Genomic DNA, 22,165 nt, shown 5'->3' on the forward strand with positions numbered 1-22,165 from the left:
AAGATACTTTCCATTAATCTTTAATAGGCTGTTATGATAATGTGGTAAATCATAATTTGGAGATCTGTCTCAGAAAAAATATTATTTGAATCTTTACTCACCTTACACACAAAAAAACAGTATATAGTTGCATACCAAACCCAATTTGTTTATCTGATAAAGCATTTCTTAAATAGTGGTTTGTAAACCAGATGAACTTCAGGGACATTCATAGTCATCAAACTGTTACATGCCCACTGAAAATGGAAAAGAATGGACTCTTGTATTACAGCTTAAGTAATGGATGCCTTCTTTTTGTTTCCTATTCTGTGTTCAGTGCTTTAATTGTTCTTGAAATGTTTTCCACTTGTCTATTTTAATTCTTGTGAGTACTAGAATAGCTTTGGCCTTTTAAAACATTTGTTTATTTTTTTTCTGAGAATGGCTAACACACTTTATTGAGGTTCGAAATTAATAAAGAAAATAAAAGAAATGTATCTTCATTCATTCTGTATGTTAGTGTTTTAATTACCCTTAGAATATATGGATAAAAAATACTATTCTTTGTCTTGGAGAAGGTAAGAGTCTAGTTAGATGAATAAGGGTTATCTATGTAGAACAACTAGAGAATGAGAAGAGAGCTTATGAGATTGAGTACTACGTTATGCAGTAGAGTAGCACGTCATCTGCTACTGAGTATGGTGTGATAACATTGTGTAACAGGAAAGTATGATCAATATCTACTTAAAATTAAGGACAATATTAGCACTACATTGCTTTATTTTAAAGTAAAAATTAGAGAACTAAACACAAGCATTGTAAGTACAATAAAAGCTGATCTTTCTAGTTAAGCAGAATAATACATGTTCAAGCATCTGCTAAATCATTAAATATAAGAATATAGGGGTTTTCTATAATCTTATTTTTCTTTGGAAGAGTACCTCATTTTCAAGAGGAGAAGTTTCTAATTGACCACTTCTTTAAAAATAAAACAGGGTTTTTAATGTATCCCAGCAAAAAAAATTAATATCTCTTCAAAAAGTTCTCTTGTGATTAAGTTTGAATTCCCTTTGTCATACTGCTTCTAATATTGTACACTGACCTCCTTAGTTATTTTTCAGTGTTTATAATCTTTTCTTAGGTTATCTTTTTTCAAGATTTGGATTACTTTGTTCTTTTCTGTGTTTTTCAGCCTTTCTAAGCTTTTATTGATACTCCTGTAAGTGTTTGTGGCAAATGTCTGGGTTTAAGAAAAACCATGAAATAAATATTATAATAAAAGAGGTTATGCCTTTTCCAACAATGTTTTCTAATCATTTTATTCTGTTAGTTATTGTGAGATTCTGTAATCTGTTTCTGAAAGCCCATTTAGTTGATTGTTTGCCAGATAGTTTTTATATTTTAGAATAGATTGCATGCACACTTTTCCTCATAGAGTCTTATATTTCTGAAGTATTTTGGTGCTTTCAAATAACCTTATAGTAATAAATGTAAATTACATTGCTATGATTTTCCATATTTATTAATGATAATTAGTATTGTTGCGTTCATGGTAACTTGAAAATTGCCTTAGTTCTTCTATTTAGTTTTCAAACTGATGGCAGTTTGCATGAACACAATTTTTCCTAATGTCTGTATTTCAGAAGAATGCATGAGTGTTTGTTTTATAACCAGATTTGTTTCTGTTTTTTCAGAAGTCATATTTTAATTCCTGCAATTTATTTAATGGAATTATCAATATCTTTTGCATGTAAGCCTATAGGTTTCATTAAATTCAAAAAGCAATTTTGAGATGTCATGTGCTCTTTGGTTGCTCAAGGCTGTTTTATGTTTGTTGCTTTAAAAATCACATGGGATGCAGCTGATGCTTTACAAAGTACAACCAAGCTAATCATTTTAAAATAGCTTTGCTGTTTTCTTTCCTAGAGTAGGAGTTTAGGATCAAATACTTAACAGAAAAAGGAAAATAAGAGACCTTATAAGTAGGCATCTCACTGATTCAGTTAGATACAGACATTCAAGCTGAAGTTATTAATACATGCAGCCTTTTTGAATAACACCTCTCAAAATTGATTATATAGTGGTCACTGATATTTATAGTTAGTTTAAGGATGTTTCTCTTTCATACTTTAAATATTGTCCATGACCCGAGCAATAATTTTACCATGCTATAGAGCAAGATCACACCTCTTGCAATGAAGGTAGAGGGTACTTTCCCCTACACCTCCAGAAAAAGGAAGTTACTTGGGAAATATTGTTTGGGTGATTTAATAGTTACCATTAATTAAGGTCATCGGTTGACTGGGCATAGGTTGATTCTGTTCAAAGTTAACAACCTAAAAAGATAACCATGAACTGTAATATATTTCCTTTGTGAGGATTTAGGGTAAGGAAGATAATAAAGTATTTTAAAGTATTTACAGTATACTCTTAGAACCTTCATGATATGGCACACCTGCAGAGGGATTTTTTGCTTAATTATATGAACATTAACTTTTATCATTACAGCTTACATTTTATAATTCTATTTTAAATACATCTGGGAACTTTCAGTATTGTGGTACTTAATCTTCCATTGGGTGGTTGGAAATTCAGGTTCATAGCAAGCCACGTTAATCTGATGCTTGTCTCAGTTTAGTCAATTAACATTTGACTACCTGTTCCGTTGAGGATTCTGAGAAAGTTTTATAGTCCTTTACCATTACTATTTAAAAAGTACAGTCTTTCTCCTTACAGAACTCGACTTTTTTTTTACATTTTTTATTGAGTTTTTATGGTAGAGATAAAGAAGTATTCATTCAACAGACATGAGAACTAACTATATTCTGTAATTAGATAGTCCCTATTCTTAATCAACTTAGAAGTTTAGTGGGACAGACAGGAAAATCAACAAATTAGTTATGAACACAGTATAGTGGAAGCACAGGGAAGATGGAAATATCTGGATAGATTCCTAAAATTAATATGTCATTTTTGCCCATATGGGCCATCCTATTCTCTGTTTCAGTTTTATTAATATTTCATTTATTTTAGAGTATTTTGAGTCTTTTTCTTTTCTAGAATTTTTAAAGAGACTATAGGCATCATCTAGTCTGACATGATTATTTTCTAGGAGTTAGAACCAGAGCCTAGAGAGATTTAGTGACTTCAGACGAAGAAACTAATTGCTTCTTATAAAGTGTGATATCCAGACCAGCAGAATCAGTATCACCTGGGAACTTGTTAGAAATACATACTCTCAGGTTCCACTCCAGACCTACTGAATTTGATGTGTTTCAGCAGTCTGTGTGTTTAACCAGCCTTCCAGATGATTCTGAAGCATGTTCAAGTTTAGGAACCACTGTTACAGCTCATTGATTCTTTGTGCCTCCATCACTAATCAAGGTCACTGTTCTAGAGAGCAGCTGTTATTGATGCATGTGTTTTACCTCAGGGGCCTTTCAGTAAAAATCAGTAAAGAGTACTGATAGAGTTAATTGGTGATAAAGCTGGAATAAGAGCCTCCAGTCTAGCATTCCTTCCGTCATTCAGTGTTACTTTTTACCTTTTTAAATCCCTGACAGCAACTTAGTCTACAGTACTGATTCTGAACCCCTAGCTTTAAAAAGGCTACAACCCTAATTTAAACATCAAAGTAAAGTAAATAAATGAACATATTCTTAGAAAAGCTTTTTAGGTTTTTCTTCAGCTTTCTAAAGAACTGATTCTGAATCTTCTCTGGATTGTGGACTCCTGTGGAAAACTGATGAAAGCTATAAACCTTTTCTTCGGGAAAAAAAGAAATTATGTACACACTAGTCCCCCCTTATCCATGAGTGATACGTTCCAAGACAATCAGTGGATGGCTGAAACTGCAAATAGTGCCTTCATATGCTGTTTTTTTCCAATGAAGACATATGATAAGGTTTAATTCATAAATTAGGCACAGTAAGTGATTAACAACAATAATAGTAAAGTAGGACAATTATAACAATGTAATAAAAATTATGTAAATGTGGCATCTCTGTCTCTCAGAATATCTTATTGTATTGTCCTACAGATAACTGAAATCGTGGAAGGCAAAATGCAGAAAGGGGGGACTACTGTACACCTATGAACAGTATATTACATATAATCTCAGAGACTTCTGGTCTCTCTTGAAGCTAATGGACCCAGGTTAATAAGTGCCTTATTTTGATTTCTATGGGGGCTTTTATTTCCACTTAATTTTCAGATTCTTCCTTTCCATTTTCTGTGACAGTCATTTTTTGAGAGTTTAGAATGGACTATCCTGTATCCCCCACGTATACATAAGCTTACACATGCGTGTATACACATATGTAACTGGGTGGGTGAGTATTTTGGGAAGACTCCTAGATTATTTGGAGGGCATGGGCCAGAGCTTCCTCTAGTAGTTCACCACATACCTTTTTTCAGGTACACTGAGTATGTATTGAACAGAATACAGTAGAAATTTATGGACATTAAAGAGTCAGATTCTTTCAAATAAGCAAGTGAAGGGATTGAACATTCAGCAAAGAAGATTCTGATAACAAGACTTTGGAGACTTGGTGAAGTAGCAGACTTAATGAGATTACTGTGCTTTTACTCTTCTCTCCTCCACCTGCCTATTTTGCAGGGGAGTTGGGGGAGGCCGGCTTAAAAATGCAGAGACAAATATGGAAGCACTTTAGAGAGTAATATATGAATCTGAATATTCTAGGCATTAGTCCCTGTTCTGGTTATTAGTATCTTATGCTTTTGATTTTTACCGTATAAGATGTTTATGCACTCATTATTAAATTCAGACTACTATGTCAGATAACAAAATGTTTGATAGATGTTTAAAGTATGGTGCAATTATGGAACTAAAATATTTCCTCCCAAATATTTATTTTCTATGTGCCACTATCTGTCTTCCTAAATATGTGAGAAAAGTTTTGAAATTAACCAAAAAATGCTTTCTGTGTGTATAAGATTTCAGGAAACTTTATAGAGAAAAGTAACTATAGAAATTATTTTACTGTTTTGCATTAGTATTGCCAGTAAAATTAGATTACTTTTGATAAAAGCTTTAAGAGATAAATATACTGAAAATAATGTCCTCCAATGCAAGGAACATTGTAGTTCATGAGATCTTTAGTTATTGGTATTTTTGTGGGATACAGATTAATTAGTAATAATCAGAAGTCCTATTTTATGTAAGAGAATTTAGATAGTGTTTTATAATCGCTTTTTGAAAAAACTGCATAGATTATAATGTCTTTTTTCCTCTTCTCTTCCAGGATCGAAGTAGAATGTATGACAGTTTGAATATGCACTCTTTGGAAAATTCCCTTATCGATATTATGAGAGCAGAGCATGATCCTCTTAAGGGTAGGTGACTTTTTAAAAAAATATATGTTTATATTATACACCAATTTGCTTATCTTACTAGTTTTTATATGAAAGTGAAACCTAAGTAGCACCTATATCCAATATAAAACTCTCTTACACATTTATTAATGAGAATCTTTGTTTTTATGAAATGCCATATTTTTCCTTTGTTGCTTAATGTGAACTCACCTCCCTTGACTTACAATTTAAGGAAAATTTACTATTTAGAGACATGCTTCAGTTCACCAGAGAATGAAGGATGGATCTAAAAGTATACACTAGTCACTTTTCTAGAATTCTTTCAAGTACAAAAATACTAAAAATATTTCTTGGAATACTTGTATTCACAATTTGCAGTGATTCCAGCCTAGAATTATCCCTAGTTAACCTCCTTTCTCTATTTTTCTTCTACTGTCATAGGGTTTTGAAAGGGGGGGGAGTATTTTATAGTAGCTTCTCTGAGGTGAAAAATAGCTTTTCATAGAAGTTGAGACAAATTAGGGAAAAGAACCGGCCCACTTACCCTATAGTAGCAGTCTTCACTAATTGTTTGTAGTATTTGAAGAAATTTCATTAGCATACTTGTTTTTGTCTGTACATATTCTGTGTATAAAATGAAAAAAAGCAATTATTATATATTTTTATACAATATATCACATTGTCATTTATATCAGTGGTGAAAATCTACCAAATTGTCTATTTGAGTCATGACAGTTACTATTTATCTATTGCTACATAATAAATTATCTCAAAACTTAGCAGCTTAAAAACAGCAATAAATATTTATTACCTTAAACAGTTTCTGTGAGTCAGAAATTCAGGAGCAGCTTAACTATTTTATTCTGGCTCAAAATCTCTCATTGAATCAAAATCATGGATTACTTTGTAAATTTTCGCCATTTTTAATTCTATAAAGCCAAGTTAGAATTCTCTTTCAAGATTTGGCCTAAAAACTATAAACTTCCTTATTGGCAGGGAGGTGGTGATGTGGGGCTAAGTTGATAATACTGACCACATATCTAACTATTTTTTTCTGTTTATGGATTTTTCTTGTAAAAAGAATTCCTTGTCTTTTTAATTCCTTAATTTTAAGGAGCTTGAGAAGCTGAGGGGATATTAGTGATTGTTGATTATGTGTGCTAATAGTAATTCCTCATACAAACTTATAGTTGTATGTCAGGTTTTTGGGGATGTTTGTTTGAGTTTCTTTTTTTTTTTTCCTTTTAACCAAAGTTCAGCTTAGTTTTTTGAGTATCTTTGTATAGGGTCTTGGTCTTTTTCACTGTTATGCTGGCAGTTTCAGTGGTTTGTCTTAGATCCACCATTTAGAATAGAAGCCAGCAGCTTATGATTAAGAAGTTTCCTGTTTATCTCCTTGGCTTCTCAAGAAAGAAAACTCTTAGAAACTCCAATACAAGATAAAGTCAAGATTATTAACTGTTACCAGTGGATAATAAAAGTTTTTCATTGTTGTTTCTCCCAGTCTTTTTTTTTTTTTCAAAAGGCTTTTTAAACATGTTAGACAAAATGTTCATTGTGGCACTGTTAATTATCTCAGTTTTTCTTTTTGCTAGCCTGGGTTATAGTAAAAGTGAAGGGAAACGTAAAAAGAGGACATTGAAAAGGAAATGGAAGCATTATAAGGCTAAGGGGAATTTTATATATATATATATATATATATATATATATATACACACGCACACACACACGCATATATAGATATATATGTTTTTTAATCTCAAGTGAATTCAAAATTTTTAAGTTAGGAAAATTATCTTTGGCTGTGAGAAGGGAAAAAACATGCTCACTAACCACCTTTAGGAATCATTATGGTGACAAGTCTTCATATTTACACAAAACGTGGAATATTTTATCTTCCACGTGTTTTATGACGGAATTTTTAAGTAGAGAAAAAAGAAAAAAATCGAGAAACTTTCTCTGCATAAAATAAAAAAATAAGACTGATATTTCTACAAAGCACCATCATATCCCTATTTAAAATTATCTTGGTACTAAGTGCTGCCACTTTAAGTCTTTTTTTTTTCCTTTCTTTTCTTATTAATACAAATTCCACTGCCTTCTGGGATATTATGTTGTATATTTTCTTTCTCTCCGTACTCTGATTATTGTACTTTTTTCTTTGGGCTAGACCTCAGTAGAATCTTCTAAATCAAGGTGGTAGCAAATGGAATAAACCATCCAGGGTTTAACACCTGAATTTGCTTTCCTTCTTTCCATTACTGTTCTTGAGGGCAGTATTTCGCCCTCTGTCTCATCTCTTGTCTCTTACCTTCTCAACCCTTGTAGGAAATCCTGTCCTCTGTTTAATTAAAAAAAAATGATTTTCCCCTAGAAAACAAAATGAATATTATTTTATCCTTTTTAAATGCTGTTTTACAAACCAGCCATTTGTTTTGTTTTTGTTATGGGATCTGATGAAAAAGGAGAAGGGAGTTGGAGGGTAAACTTTTAAAATGAATTATTTCTCTTTATATTAATGCTGAAAATATCTAGGAAAATGAACTTGAGTGAGGAGAGATATTAGTTATCTCTCTATAATTATCCCAAAATTTAGCAGATCAAAAAAACAGTATACATTATCTCAAACAATTTCTGTGGGTTTAAATTTGGGAGCAGTTTAGCTGGTTACTTCTGGCTAAGGATATCTCATGAAGTAGCAGTCAACATACTGGCTGAGGCTGCAGTCATTTGAAGGCTTAACTGGAACTGGAGGATCTTTTTCTAAGATGGTACACTCACATGGCTGGATGTTGGCAGAAGAACTTGGTTTGTTGCCTCATGGACCTCTCTACAGGGCTGTAAAATTTTTCTTACAACATGGTTGCTTATATCCCCCAAAGTGAGTGATAAAAGCTCAAAACAAATGCCCCAATGTCTTCTATGTCCTAGCCTTAGAAGTCTCATACCATCATTTCCACAACATTCTGTTAACTGCATAGATCAGCTCTGCTCAATTTAGGCCAAGTCTGCTATTCAAGAGATGTGAATACTAGAGGCTGGCTACCACAGAGGTAAAAGGCAGAGTGGTAAATTTGTATTCAATTCGACCCACAGTTAAAGGAAAAGAAAAATTAGTCAAGGTGAGACTGTCAATTGGAAGAAAGCAGTCAAGCAGATAGATCTCTAGAATGCTAAGTGGCAGGTTCCTGACCTAACTGAGGACTGGTGATTGTGCTAACAGAAGCACCTTCCCTCTTATCCTTGTTTATGCCCAAAACACTTCACTGCAGCTTATTTGCCTTTTCCTACTCCCCAGTGTTTTTTCAGGACAGTAGGGAACCTCCATTGTTTAATGTTAATATTTTCATGGTCTGGCATAGCAGGTAGGAAGGGTCTAGTCTTGTTGAAGTTGTACAGATGTGAAATGATGGCAACCCAAGATGGAATGCAGAATGTACTTTACTCAATTAAGTGTGTCTGTTTTTGCACAAGTTTCCTAGACACTGCACGTTGTCGGAGACAGACATAGTGTCTGCCCTCATTGTATAGCCTACTGGGGAAAGAGAGATTCCTTATACAAATACAATATACGTATATCTACTGTGTGTTAGAAATACTGTGGAGGAAGATTATGAGGTGTTTAGAGAGATTATAAATGGAAGTACCTAATTTAGATGTGGAGTAAAGGAAGCTGAGACCTGAAGCATGAGCAGCACAATGATGGAAAAATTGGGAGAAAGTGTCAATTAGACAAAGGAACCAGCATGTGCAAAAGCATGGAAGAGATTGTTACATTTGAGGAACTGAAAGGAGGCTAGCCCTGGCATAGCTTGTTTAGGGCTGCCTGATGCCGACTGGGTGTAACAGGGCACAGTTAACACTGTCGAGAGTGTGCTATCTTTTGCTATGGATCGTGAACAGTGACACACTGTTAAATGCTTTCTTTAGTATGAATGGCACTGACCCGTCTGCTTTATTTATTGTGTGGTAGTTTCTCTCCATTAACATCCTATTTTCTGGTGACTATCTTGATTCTTGGCAAATAATTTGCTTTTCAAAGGAAGATCATGGATTCTTTAAATGGTTAAAGTAAATCATGCTTTGCCAAGTACTGTTTTGTAGTTTTTCAGTTTTAGATTTGCATACCTATTTTAAATAATTTGTGATTTTTTAATATATGTGTATATATATTCCCCCTTTAACAAAAGAACAAGACAGTGATTATTGTTAAGCTCTTTTCCTTCCCTGCCCCCAACAATTTGTAAAAAGGCTTACTGTGTGAGTATTTTTGCCAGAAATTGCTTGTATCATTTCCCAAAGTATAGGGACAAACAGAATTACTTAATTGTAGCTCATAAAAGTTGATTTGAAAACTCTAGGAAGAAATGTAGTTTATGTAACGGTTTGGGGGAAGATCTGTGTCAGTAAGTCGTAATGCCTTTACCAGTGTTTCATGAGCAGTTAAAGGGAATTAAGGAAAAAGAATTTAGAATATGATTTTACACCAAGAAATGTCTAGAAGTGGATGCCTTTAAAACTTATTTACTAAGTTTTTGTATATCTAGTGTCATTTTTATTACCTGATTGCTAAACTCCTATTTTTTAAGACTCCTGAAGTAAGAAGCTCTGTTTATTTTAGGGCATATAAGCCCTGAGAAAATAAGGAGTTATTCCTGTAAGGTGCTGACTGATTATGGTAGTACCAAATTGCTTATTTTCTTCCACTTTTCCCTCTCTTTCTCTTCAGCTGACCTTAATATAAGATTACAATACCAAGTCACAAAATAACTTGTATAAATTTCTAAAAGTCTCCATTGTGAGAACTTATATTTAGAATTTAAGAACTGTCGAGCCAGACAGAGGTTCTCAGACACTGAGACTGTGTCAACCATGTGGTTTTCAGGGCCCACCCTAGAAGTGGTGTAGTTCGTGTGGGGTGTAGAACACACCTGGAGAAACTCTGGTATAAGAGAGCAATGGTAAAGAGATCTTTAAAAAGCTGTGAAAGTTTAATGGCATTTATTAAAATAAAGTACAAAATAAAACAAATACCAATAATATACATGCCAAAGCAGGAATGTCATCTGCTCTTACAGGACTCTTCCTTATTTCCCCTGACAGAGAAAAAGGGGTGCATTTCTCAAAACTGAGTTTACTTTTTCTTCAGCCACTGGTGTTTTCCTGAAGTTGAAAGTTTTAAAATTGCCAATAACAAAAAAGAGTATAGAAGAAAATCACATATATTAGATACATATCTATGTATCTAATATATATATGCATTCAGTTTTAAATGAAATGTTTCCATTTATTTCAAAAAGGAGTAAGTAGAATTGACATTCTTTTTCCTTTGTTGATTTTTCGTTTCTTCATTCTATAGACTCCTGGCCTTTGATAGGAAAAAAAATTATTAACTTTTGGAGTAAATTGTATTTATATAGCAGCCATATGTATTTTATTAAACATATTCTGACTTTAAGAGGTGATTACTCTTATAACGTACATGGAATCTTAATACTTGACCCTTCCACTACTAAGAATTGTTCATCTTAGTGAAAGTACAATTTATGAGTTTGACTGGTAATTGAGAATATCTATAGATTGAAAAGGAAATGATAAAAATGTGGTTGTGAAAGTTTTTGTTTTAAAAAAACATTTGAAATATGACATCATGGATGGAGATAAGTTTTGCTTTTATTCCTTTTTACATAGTTGCCTTTATTACAAACTTATTAAAACATACTTGAGTTTTATTTCTTCCAAGCATCTTTGAATATTTAGGTAAATGATTTAAATTATGACAGACTGAAATTTTTTTGTTAAAAACTAAAACCCATCAGAAACTACAATGAATTTTATTAAAATCACATTTATTTATTCAGAACATATATGTGCTTACTGCAATCCTGTTACTCACCACAAAACATCTTTCATATGATTTGAAAAATGTTTATATCACTTGTTTTAAATGGAAAGTAGAACAACAAAAAGAATGTTTCCTATATATAACTTGCAGTGATAAAAGCAAGTAATTGGAATAATTAGGCTTATGCATTTTAACTACTTATAGTATTTGAAGATATATCAAAGAATTTCTTTTGAAGGTTTTTTCTCCAAAATGATAGCATTTTATCCTTTTTAAAGTGTTTGTTTTCCTGTTACAAAAAAAATAGTATTCATTTATTAAAGAAAATGTGGAAACACTAGGAGAAACAAGTTTTAAAATCATCACTTATCTCACAAACTAAAATAATCATAATTGATATTTTGGTGTATAATTTTTCCAGTCTTTTCATTCTCTATTTATAAACTTAAAATATTTGCAGTAATTAAATCTTTGCCTTCCATCCAACCTGGTTAACTTTTTTAAAAAATTAGTTTAAAAATATATTTACATAATTTTGAAAGTCTAGTAGTGCTATAAGTCTTATATAATGAAAAAATAGAAGTCTCCTTCCTCCTCCTTGTCTGTCCACTTCAGATTCCTGCTCCTTACTGGTAGCCACTATGAGCTTTTTTTTTTTGAACTGATTATGTAATTATTTGTAAATAATATGCTTGTGCTCCTATATTTCCTACATTTTAGGTGTTGTATGTTGATATTCTAATATGACTTAATATCCTTCAATATTTCCCCTACTCTGTCCTCCAAAATGATAAGAGCACTTTTGTTTAAGTCAGGGATTGTATTACTGAGATAAGGCAAATAATATTCATAGATGAACCTTGTATGTTTTGTACTGTAATGTAACATTTTCTTTTTCATAAAGCTTTCTTTTTCCTGGAATTAATCATTATCTTTTTTAGTTTATTTGCTTAGTTTTCTAAGTATTTATCATTAATTCATCCCAGTATTTATCCATAGACTGTAAAGCTTCTTTCAATACATACAAACGCATCAAATTATCATCCAGATTGTTTTTTTTCATTATTGCAGTCCTATATAGCAGTCATTTTGGGACTTCCATAATCCTAGGAATTCCTTTTTTTCTGTGGAATCCATGTCCTAATCCCCATGTCCTTTCTTTAATGACTTACACCTTTGTTTTTCTTTGATTTGTTGGACCTGTATTACCTTCCTGCTAATGGGACATACATTTTGAGACACTATATGTATTAAAACATAATGTTTCTACCTATATAATATGATAAGTCACTATGGAATTATATATTAGCAATTTAGAATATTGAAGGTATGATATTTTAACCTCCAGTATTGCTTTAAGTGTGGCATCATTCTGAATCCTGTTCATTTGTATGATTGCCTTGATTTCTTACTTTATTTTTTTGTTGTTTTTCTTTCTGGAAGCTTTTAGGTTATTTTTCATGCCTGTGGTTCTGCAGTTTCATAGTAATGAAATGTGTATCTTGGAATGTGTATGTGCATACGTACCTTCCTTCCTGCCTTCATTTTTTAATTTATTAAGCTGTACCTTCATTGGACCCTTTTAATTCAGAGATTTATATCTTCAGTTCTTGGAATTTTGGGATATTATTTCTTTGATAATTTTTTTTTTTTTTTTTTTGAGATGGGAGTCTTGCACTGTTGTCCAGGCTGGAGTGCAGTGGCGTGATCTTGGCTCACTGCAACCTTTGCCTCCCGGGTTCAAGTGATTCTCCTGCCTCAGCCTCCCAAGTAGCTGGGATTACAGGTGTCCACCACCAGGCCTGGCTAATTTTTGTATTTTCAGTAGAGACGGGGTTTCACTGTGTTTGGCCAAGCTGGTCTCGAACTCCTGACTTTGTGATCTGCCCGCTTCAGCCTTCCAAAGTGCTGGGATTACAGGCATGAGCCACCATGCCTGCCTCCCATTTTTTAATATTACCTCTTTTTGGAATTCCTGTTCCTCAAATGTTAAATGTTGTATAGTCATCATCTGTTTTTCTTTTCTGTTTTCCATTGTTTTGTCTCTTGTTTTGCATTTCAAGAGCTTATGTTTATTTTTCAAATCTTGAGTTTTTTGTTTTAAAAATTTTTGCTAATTTTTAAAACCTCCTTTAAAAAAATTCTCAGAACTTTCAATTACATCTTATTCTTGTTGTTTGATCTTATTTCTCTGGAGGCTATTATAGTGTTTGAAGATTATTTTCCCAGTTCCTTATATTGTCTGTGCTTCTTCAAAGTTCTTTTTTATTTGTTTGTGTTCTCTTTTTTTCTCATGTTGGGGGCTTCATCTTTTACTGTCTATTCATATTTAAAAGTAAGACACAAAAAATGGGGATTGGAAGCTCAATGTATATAGTTGAAATTATCAACTAGTAATGATTGTAATAAGTCAATCAGGTGAGACCCTCACCATGCCTGTGTCTAGGTCTTTTCTTTTGTTCTGGCAAATGAACATGGATGTGGGTCTTCTAGTCTTCTGCTTGTGAGCTGTAGGCCTAGCTGCTAGACTTCTTAGATGAACCCAGGAGGGTTCTTTTAAAAACTAACAAGCAATCTTAAACCTTCTGTTTTTAGTTGTACCCGACTTTTACACACAGTTATAACCAGAGCTTCTGATTTCTGAACCTATCCAGGTGTGTACTACAGTAAATGGAGTGTTACTTGATGGCATTCCCCATGTATACACGGCTTAGGTTTGTGTTTCAGTGATTTCTGGTCTACAAAGTTAGTTACCATTCAACCATTCACATTTACAGTTCCCAGAAATTTGATGACTTAGTTGTTTTATGATCCTGTTCTAGTGTCTTTATCCTAATGGGGTTATGCCTCTTTAAAAATCTTTTTGTTTTCTTTGAGACACCTCTTTCAAATCTTTTTAACTGCCACGTTAGGGATTTCGGAAAGCAACAGAGGTGAACACGTGTATTCAGTCCTTCATGTTCAGTTGGCAGTCTCTAATCTCTAGTCAATTTCTACCTCATCATAAAGACTCTTTGGCACCCCTATCAAGGGTAGATTACTTTTGTGTTAAAGATTTATAGAGAATCAAGTTTCTTTTTAATCAGAGCACTTTTCTTATTTTAGATTCAATTGTTTGTTTTTGTTTTTGTTTTTGTTTTTTGAGATGGAGTCTTGCTCTGTCACCCAGGCTGGAGTGCAGTGGCGTGATCTTGGCTCACTGCAACCTCCACCTCCTGGGTTCAAGCGATTGTCCTGCCTCAGCTTCCCAAGTAACTGGGACTAGAAGCACATGCCACCACACCCGGCTAATTTTTTGTATTTTTAGTAGAGATGGGGTTTCACCATGTTAGCCAGGATGGTCTTGATCTCCTGACCTCATGATCCACCCGCCTGGGTCTCCCAAAATGCTTGGGATTACAGGCCTGAGCCACCATGCCCGAACTATTTTTTTAATATATATCTTTCACATAATCTTTCACATAAGACTGTGTCATGGGAGCAATGGCCACTTGTGTTTTTGCTTTACCTTGAATCAGCATCTATCATGATGTCAAACAAATAGGAGGAGCCCAGTAAATTATTGGTTAAATGATTAAGCATTTTCTCATAATTCATACTCTTCAAAATATTGATTTAGAACTTTAAAGAATTCCTGTATATTGTATCTATACATGTAAAATAGTTTGTATAACCATTCTGGTATAGTTGAACATTTAGGTATTTCAAATTTTTAAATAAAATTGAATTAGCTTTTTCTGTGTTTATTTTCATAGCACAAACTTCATATGCTTGTTTCTGAGGCTGTAAACATAATATTGCCAACCTAGGTTTGCTTTATACCAGTTCCACTGGCAATATTTTGTTGCCCATTTGCTATTCCTACTGGTTATCAGCATTACTTTTGTTTAAAACCCTTTTAACAGTGAAAAGTTTTGCAACCATTAACTCAACTTGACTTTAATATTAGTTGAATATATCTGAATTAGTACCACTCTTATAGGTATATGATAATATATTATCTTACTAAATGATTAATGACTTAAGTTTTGTCTTTTATTATTATTGTCTTTTGGGATTACCATTTTCTTGAATCAAAACTTTTTGGTATTCTATGTTCTTTGGTGTTTCTTGGTAAATTTTCTAGTATTAATTGGGTAAAAGTCTTAAAATATGATTAGGCCAAAAAATTTATGATAGGATTTTGATTTGAATGCATTAACTAGATTAATTTCAGTTGAATCTAAAGTAGATTGATGGCTTTTATTAGATGTAGGTAAGGAATGATTCTGTTGCTCTCTTCGGATCTGGTACTTTGGATCTAAGGGTCTTTTCTGCGTTTGTATGATCTTATTCTTAGGCTTTTATGAGGCATGCATTGAAATTTGGGAGTGTGGTCAGGAATGACTGTCCTGCCCCTTGGATCTGAGCAGAGATTGGAGTTATTCAAGGTTGGTAATGACCACATTCTAAGTGGATTTTACCAGACTTCAAATGAACCTTTTTTTCCTAATTGGATTTGGAAGTAAAGGTAAAATGTAGATTATGAAAACAATATTGGAAGAGTCTGTCAAATGAGTTGGGGCAATGCTTTATTTAAAGCACTTAATTAAGAAGTATTAGATATCTTCTATTAAGGGTATGTGTGTATTGTGTGTTTAATAAACACATACAGTATATAACATACCATACATATCATTTATTGAACAGTTGATACAGCTAAGCATTGTTCTTGAGGACTCTACATATATGTATTAACTCATTTAATTTGCATGACTAAGAGGTAGATATTTACCCTTATTTTACAGTTGGATGACTATGGCTTATTCTTAATAATTGTCTGCATTTCAACTGCTAGTAAGTGGTGGAACTTGGTAGCTTTGAGTTTGTGCGTTTAACCACTGCACCATAGTGTCTCCCTTTTGATCTGTTGCTAATTCTAACCTAAACTCTTTATGATTCTAATGTGATTTAAATGTTTATTTTTCTTTTAGAAACAATTGGCAGAGCACATGGCATTGTTCTTTAGCTATGTTCTCATCACTGAAGAGTGAGTTAGCATCATCAACTGAATATTAGGGCTTTGGAGTTCATTTCCTCTATTAACTCATTAAAGAAAAAATAGTTTAGAGAAGGGAAAAATTTATCTTGGCAAAGAGCAATAAGCAGGACTTTTGCAATATCTCTCCCCACAACTTCAATATGTAAGAGATTTAGAAATAAGCTGAAAAAAAAGTCTTGTTCTATGATTTTTTTTTTTCATTTTCTTAGAGAATATCCTCCCTATGCCACACATACAAACACATGTTAAGGTATTTGTGTTTTTGATTCAGTCCATAGTTTACATAGTAGAATGAAATATTTGATTTATCCATTCAACAAATATTTGAGAGCCTATTATATGCTACGCTTTGTTTTATATGCTAGAGAGTAAGAGAGACTAAGTTACTGCCTTCATGGATCTTCTGTTTTAAAGAAGTATAGAGACAGAAAATGTTAGATGATAATCAGTACTATGCAGAAAAAATATACTATCAAGGGGATAGAGAAAGAAGCTGCTATTTTAGACAGGATAGTCTGTCATGCTATCTCTTAAAGACCTGAATGAAGTGAGAGGTGCAAGCTTTGGTCGTATCTGGGCAAATGTATTTCAAGCAGAAAAAAAAGGAAGTAGGAAGATCCTGAAAAGGGATTACCTGGCATGTTTGAGGAACAGCAGAGATCAGTGTAGCAAAAATGGTAGAGAATCAGGGACCAGATATTTGTTCCAAATGTAATCTGGTAATTTCTCTAAAGAAGTGATAAGTTTTATACAGTTGTCATATTTCTTAGTATTTTTAGTTGCTCAGATAATACATTTAAAGTGGCTAACATGAAGTAAGGCTTTTTTATACAGTTGTCACTTGGTAACCACTGGGGCTAGTTCCAGGACCACCCAGAGATACCAAGATCGGCAATGCTCAAGTCCCTTATGTAAAATGATGTAGTTTTTGCCTATAACCTGTGCACATCTTGTTGTGTACTTTAAATCGTCTCTAGATTACTTATAATACCTAAGTGCCTAGACATCACATTTGTGCGGATTCAATGTCGTATCATACTTGGTGCACATCAGATTCAAGCTTTGCTTTCTGGAACATTTTGGAATTTTTTTTTCCTGAGTATTTTTGATCAGGAATTATATTTTCAATATAATTTCTTGGTTGAATCCCATGAATGCAGAAGCCCCAGACACAGAGGGCCGACTGTATATGTTATATACAAATTACTATTTAAAATCGTAATAGACGAATAAGAAAATTTTTAAGATACGATAGATCCTCTAGTTATTCACTGATACCCAAAAATACATATATTTTTTAAATTACTTATTTTAAATTTCATAGTATCTTAATGTGAAAGGAGCCGTGTCAAGAGCTAGTGTATACTCTTTATTGATATATTAAACCATTATGAAATTATCATATTTTCACAATAATTAATAAGCAATTGCCTGGTTACCTAAAATTTAATTTGCCCAGGTTTATTACTAGATGACTTTGTTTGTAAGCTTAGGTTCATTAGGGACAACAGAAAACTCCTAAGTGGCTTGAGTAAGATAGAAGTTTGTTTCCCTTACCAGAAACATTAACACTTCTAGAGTAGTATGGTGATTTTCATGGATTGAAGCTCCTTTTTATCTCATTCTTCTATTATCCTGAAAACACAGTTTTTGCCTTATGGTCTAATATGGTCTCTTCACTTTAGCTATCACATCAGCATTTCAGCAAGCAAGAAAGAGAAAAGGAAGGTCTTCCCTTTTAAGGATACAGTACTTCCCAGAAATTGCACGTACCACTTTCACTTTATATCCCATTGGCCAGATCTTACATGCAGGGGTACACTTACCTACAAGAAGGCTGGGCTATGTATGTAGTTTTTTGGTTTTTTGTTTTTTACTCTGGGAAGCTCTGTATCTGTCTAGCTTTGATGACCCTATTATTGACAGGAACAGGTAGTTATTAGTGTACATCTATCAGTCACTGCACCACAGGTCTTTTAAACAATAAGGAGAAATTAGTTTTATAGTAATGTGGTTTTTTTTCTATTTTTTCTATATTAAATCTTAAATTATGAAATATACTATAGAATATTCTGTGAATTTTTTAAGAGATAAAATTGTCCTACAACCAACCATGTATACCTTTATGTTGTCAATATAAAGTAATTATTAAGATAGCGATTAAGAGTATGGAGCCAAACTGCTTAGGTTCAGGTTCTGCCAGTGCTACCTGCCAGTGGTATAACCTTGGGCAACTTACCTATTTAACTTTTTGTGATATAGTGTTGTCATCTTAAAATGGGAAGATAATAATACCTAACTCATAGGATCGTTCTTAGGATTAAGTAATTGGTTGTAAAGAACATAGAAAAGCTCCTGGCTCAGAGTATAGCCTCAAATGCTGTTAGTTCTTACTATCAATTGGCAGGTTTTTAGCGAAAGTACTTTTAATAATACCCTAAGTAAAACTTAACTTTAAAAGTTAACCTATGAAGATGCATTAATGTTTCCACTGTGGTAGAGAAAAAGACTCATCTTTAAAAATGAGTCTAAATTTGCTTATTTCATTTTGGAGTATGTTATTACTTACATTGAGAGATTTTCTTAGGTAGCGAGCTGTAGTATTTATAATATGTATACATATGTATACAATATATGTTCCTTTGCAAATAGTTATGTTTTTTAAACTTTCCACAAAAAGTGTGCCTTTTAAAAGTCTATTCAGAGCCATAATATCAAAAGACTATTAGCAGTGAAACTATTTTATTACCTGTATCTTGGGATAAATAAATGAACAGGAACCTATTAGAGTAATTATGTGACAATTGAAAGTTGAGGATCTTTCAAGGTGGAACTAGGCTTCATGTTAAGGCTTTGCTTAATTTACTTTCCCAGGAAGTCTTGCCTTAATCCCTGGGCCTGATTACTATATACTCTGTTGTGTTTTTTTATATAGCATTCTATACATAACTCTTTTAGCACCTAGCATATTTTATTGAAATTGTATATTTGTGTCTATCTCCCCTACCACATCATAAGACTATGTCCCACTCATGTTTACATGCTCTGCATCCTACACACTGTCAGTATCGTAGATTTAATTAACTTATTATGCTGAACAGTGATACAGGTTGCCATTTTGTAGGAGTTTGTTTTTTTTTTTTAAATCTTAAGTCAGAAATAACAGTAATTTATTCATGGCCTTAAACTGTTCTCCAAATTTGGCCATCTGCAGCAAGATGTTTAGAAATAGGCATATTTCCAAAATAAGCTATAATACTTCAAAGTAATGTTCCGTGTTACTGAAGTGCAGTTTAGGAAAGCTGTGCTTCCTGGCTGTTGATTGTGTACTTCCCATATGTATGCTTCTATTTCTCACTCATACCAAGGTATCACAACAAGAAATTTACTTGTATGTTTTAGAGTATGACAACTTTATTTAAGAGGTCATTTAGTTAACTCATGTCATGCTGCATAAAATGCAGGAGTAAATAAGAGATGGTAGATAATCCTTTTGATAACACTTATTTTACCTGTGTTGAGTCTGAAATCAAAATATTCCATAGTTAACTTAGATCTCAGGTGAAGTGTGTATATGTATGTACAGGAAACATGTTTGGGTACCTATCATATATATTTATGTATTTTAGTGTCAAAATTGGATTATTTTTGCCACTTACTCTTGCATTAGTAGATGATCAAACTCTTTAATTTCATAACTGAAACAAAATCCAACCGACAATCTCCATCTTACATGTGGGCCTGTAGAGTGTAGAGGGCTTGCTGAGGTGGTAAAGGTAGATGCAGTTAATCTGTAGAGGACTTGCTGAGGTGGTAAAGGTAGATGCAGTTCATCTGTACTCCTTACTTGTGTGCTAGCATATTATTTTGTTTTTAAAGGGACTGTGCTGAAAATTACTAAAATGTAATCCCAGACATTTAATTTTTAGACATTTTTCAAATCAGTTAAAAAAATTTTTTTTCATTTGTTGAGAGACAGGGTCTTGCCCTGTTGCTCAGGCCGGAGTGCATTGGCACAGTCATAGCTCACTACATGCTCAAACTCCTGGGCTCAAGTGATCTTCCTTTTTCTACCTCCCAGCTAGGTGGGACTACAAGCATGAGCCACCATGCCCAGCCTCTAAATGGGTTTTAATGTACTATTCTAATAGTCTATTAGAGATTTAGGAATTTGAGAAAAATCCTGTATTTTATAATATAGACTAAAAATAATGGTCATCCTTGCTATTGGCATTTATCAAATAAGTGTTATGATGTAAAAATGCTGGATAAACCACAGAATGTTTCATGCATACCTTTTTTCTTCTCCACAGCAGTTTGTAATACTGTTGTCCCTTCTGCATTTAGTAAATAAAAAACTTTCGAATGAAGAATGACTCAGAGGAAATACTATGCCACTATACTCATCAGCTTTAATTTTTTTTATATTTTTAATCATTTATAAACTTTGAAGAAGTTAAATTTTCAATAATATTTGTAATATAAGATGTTTTCATTAAACTAATTTATTTAAATATGACTTTATAAAGCCACATTGGCAAGTTGAGATGAATTTTTCTGCTTATTTTTTATTTTAACATTTTAATTGTTTTTGATTTAGGAATATGAAATTCTCTCAAGTTTTATTTTTGACAGATCTATAGATAAAATTACAAACAACTTTGAAAAAATTTAAAAATTCACATTTCATATTAAATTTGCAAGACTAGGATATGATAGATATATTGTTTTTACATTCCAAAAATAAATAAGCTTTATTCTATTGGCATTGCTCCCAAATCACATTGTATTCTTATGATCTAGGAACTAAGGTTAACTTTTTGTTTTGCTTTCAACTTCCAAAGATAATTTTAGTTAATATACTTTTAGTTGAACATAAGCTTTTTAGTTCTTAAGAAATATACTGTGCTCAATAATTTTCTCTTTATGCTGCCTTTGTTGTTGTTTTTTGTTTTTTTGTTTTTGCTTTTCAAATAACTCCATAATCTTCAAACTCACCTTTCCTGTCTTTTTAAAGGTCGATTGAGCTATCCACATCCAGGAACTGACAATCTGTTGATGTTAAATGGTAAGTTTTATAAAAACATTTTATGTTTCCAGTTGATTTATGTAAAGATGATTTAATACATGTTTCTCTGAACCTGTCCATACACACAATTTAATCATTCTATGAGCATAAAAATAAAGTTACAACTATTCCTATGCAAAAGGCAGAATTAGGAATCTGAGTGTGTTCGGGCTGGTAAAGCAGCCATTTGTAACAGTATGACTTTAATTCAGTGATCACGGACTTGGAGGCAGTCCTGGTTTGAATATTGCCTTTCCAGTTTCAGGTATGACCTTGGACAGATTACTATTACCTTAGTTTCCCCATCTCTGTAATGAGAATATAGTCTCAAGGTTTATTGTGAGATTTAAATGAAATGTTTGCAAAGGCATAGAACTTGTTACTTAGTATAGCATTGTGTTTGTGGTTAAATAAGGAATATACTGGTAACTCTATAAATATTGTGATCACACTAAACTTACTCAAACTAGAAAGCTTACATAGAGAAGTTCACCAAAGTAAGGAAAATAATAAATAAATTTCATTAAAGTTAGTTTTCTTTCTGTTAGACAAACATTAACATATTCAGAGTCTCAGTACTTAGCACTTCCGTGATTGTGGGAGTAGAGATGGAAGATTAAAATATCCTTCACAGGAGTATTTTTAAGTCAGAGGGTGGGTGTGGAGAGGGAAATAGGAAGGGGAAAGAATAGAAATAGTATTAATATTTACTTTAAAAAAATATCATTAGAATGGCTTGGCTCTTGTATTTCAACTGAAGGTTTGCTGAAATAAGATGGCAATGAAGTTGAGGAACAAAGACTGAAAATAAGGTACATGTGAAGCTAGACTATGTGAACTAATATTAAGACAGAAGGATGGAAATAAAGTCCAGGCCACGTAGGAGATGGTCAGGGTA

At 32.9% G+C, this 22,165-nt stretch overlaps 1 protein-coding gene and 1 long non-coding RNA gene across 14 annotated transcripts in view; one reads left to right on the forward strand and one right to left on the reverse strand.

Moving 5' to 3' along the window:
• CPEB2 (cytoplasmic polyadenylation element binding protein 2) overlaps positions 1–22,165 on the forward strand; it is a 67,671-nt gene that overhangs the window by 9,464 nt on the left and 36,042 nt on the right. For 10 of the 13 annotated variants that reach the window (XM_005248135.4, XM_011513777.4, NM_001177381.2 and 7 more), the window contains 2 exons: positions 5,244–5,334; positions 21,217–21,267. In XM_005248135.4, coding sequence (XP_005248192.2) covers positions 5,244–5,334; positions 21,217–21,267 — 142 coding nt within the window. The other 3 variants (XM_011513778.4, XM_047449609.1, XM_011513779.3) reach the window with 3 other exon arrangements.
• C1QTNF7-AS1 (C1QTNF7 antisense RNA 1) overlaps positions 1–22,165 on the reverse strand; it is a 422,973-nt gene that overhangs the window by 7,003 nt on the left and 393,805 nt on the right. Inside the window, exon 3 of the long non-coding RNA NR_125911.1 lies at positions 5,858–5,937. This is a non-coding gene — a long non-coding RNA (C1QTNF7 antisense RNA 1). The remainder of the gene's footprint in view (positions 1–5,857; positions 5,938–22,165) is intronic.

The sequence above is a fragment of the Homo sapiens genome, chromosome 4 (assembly GCF_000001405.40).
Source record: "Homo sapiens chromosome 4, GRCh38.p14 Primary Assembly".
In the NCBI taxonomy this organism is placed as follows: Eukaryota; Metazoa; Chordata; class Mammalia; order Primates; family Hominidae; genus Homo; species Homo sapiens.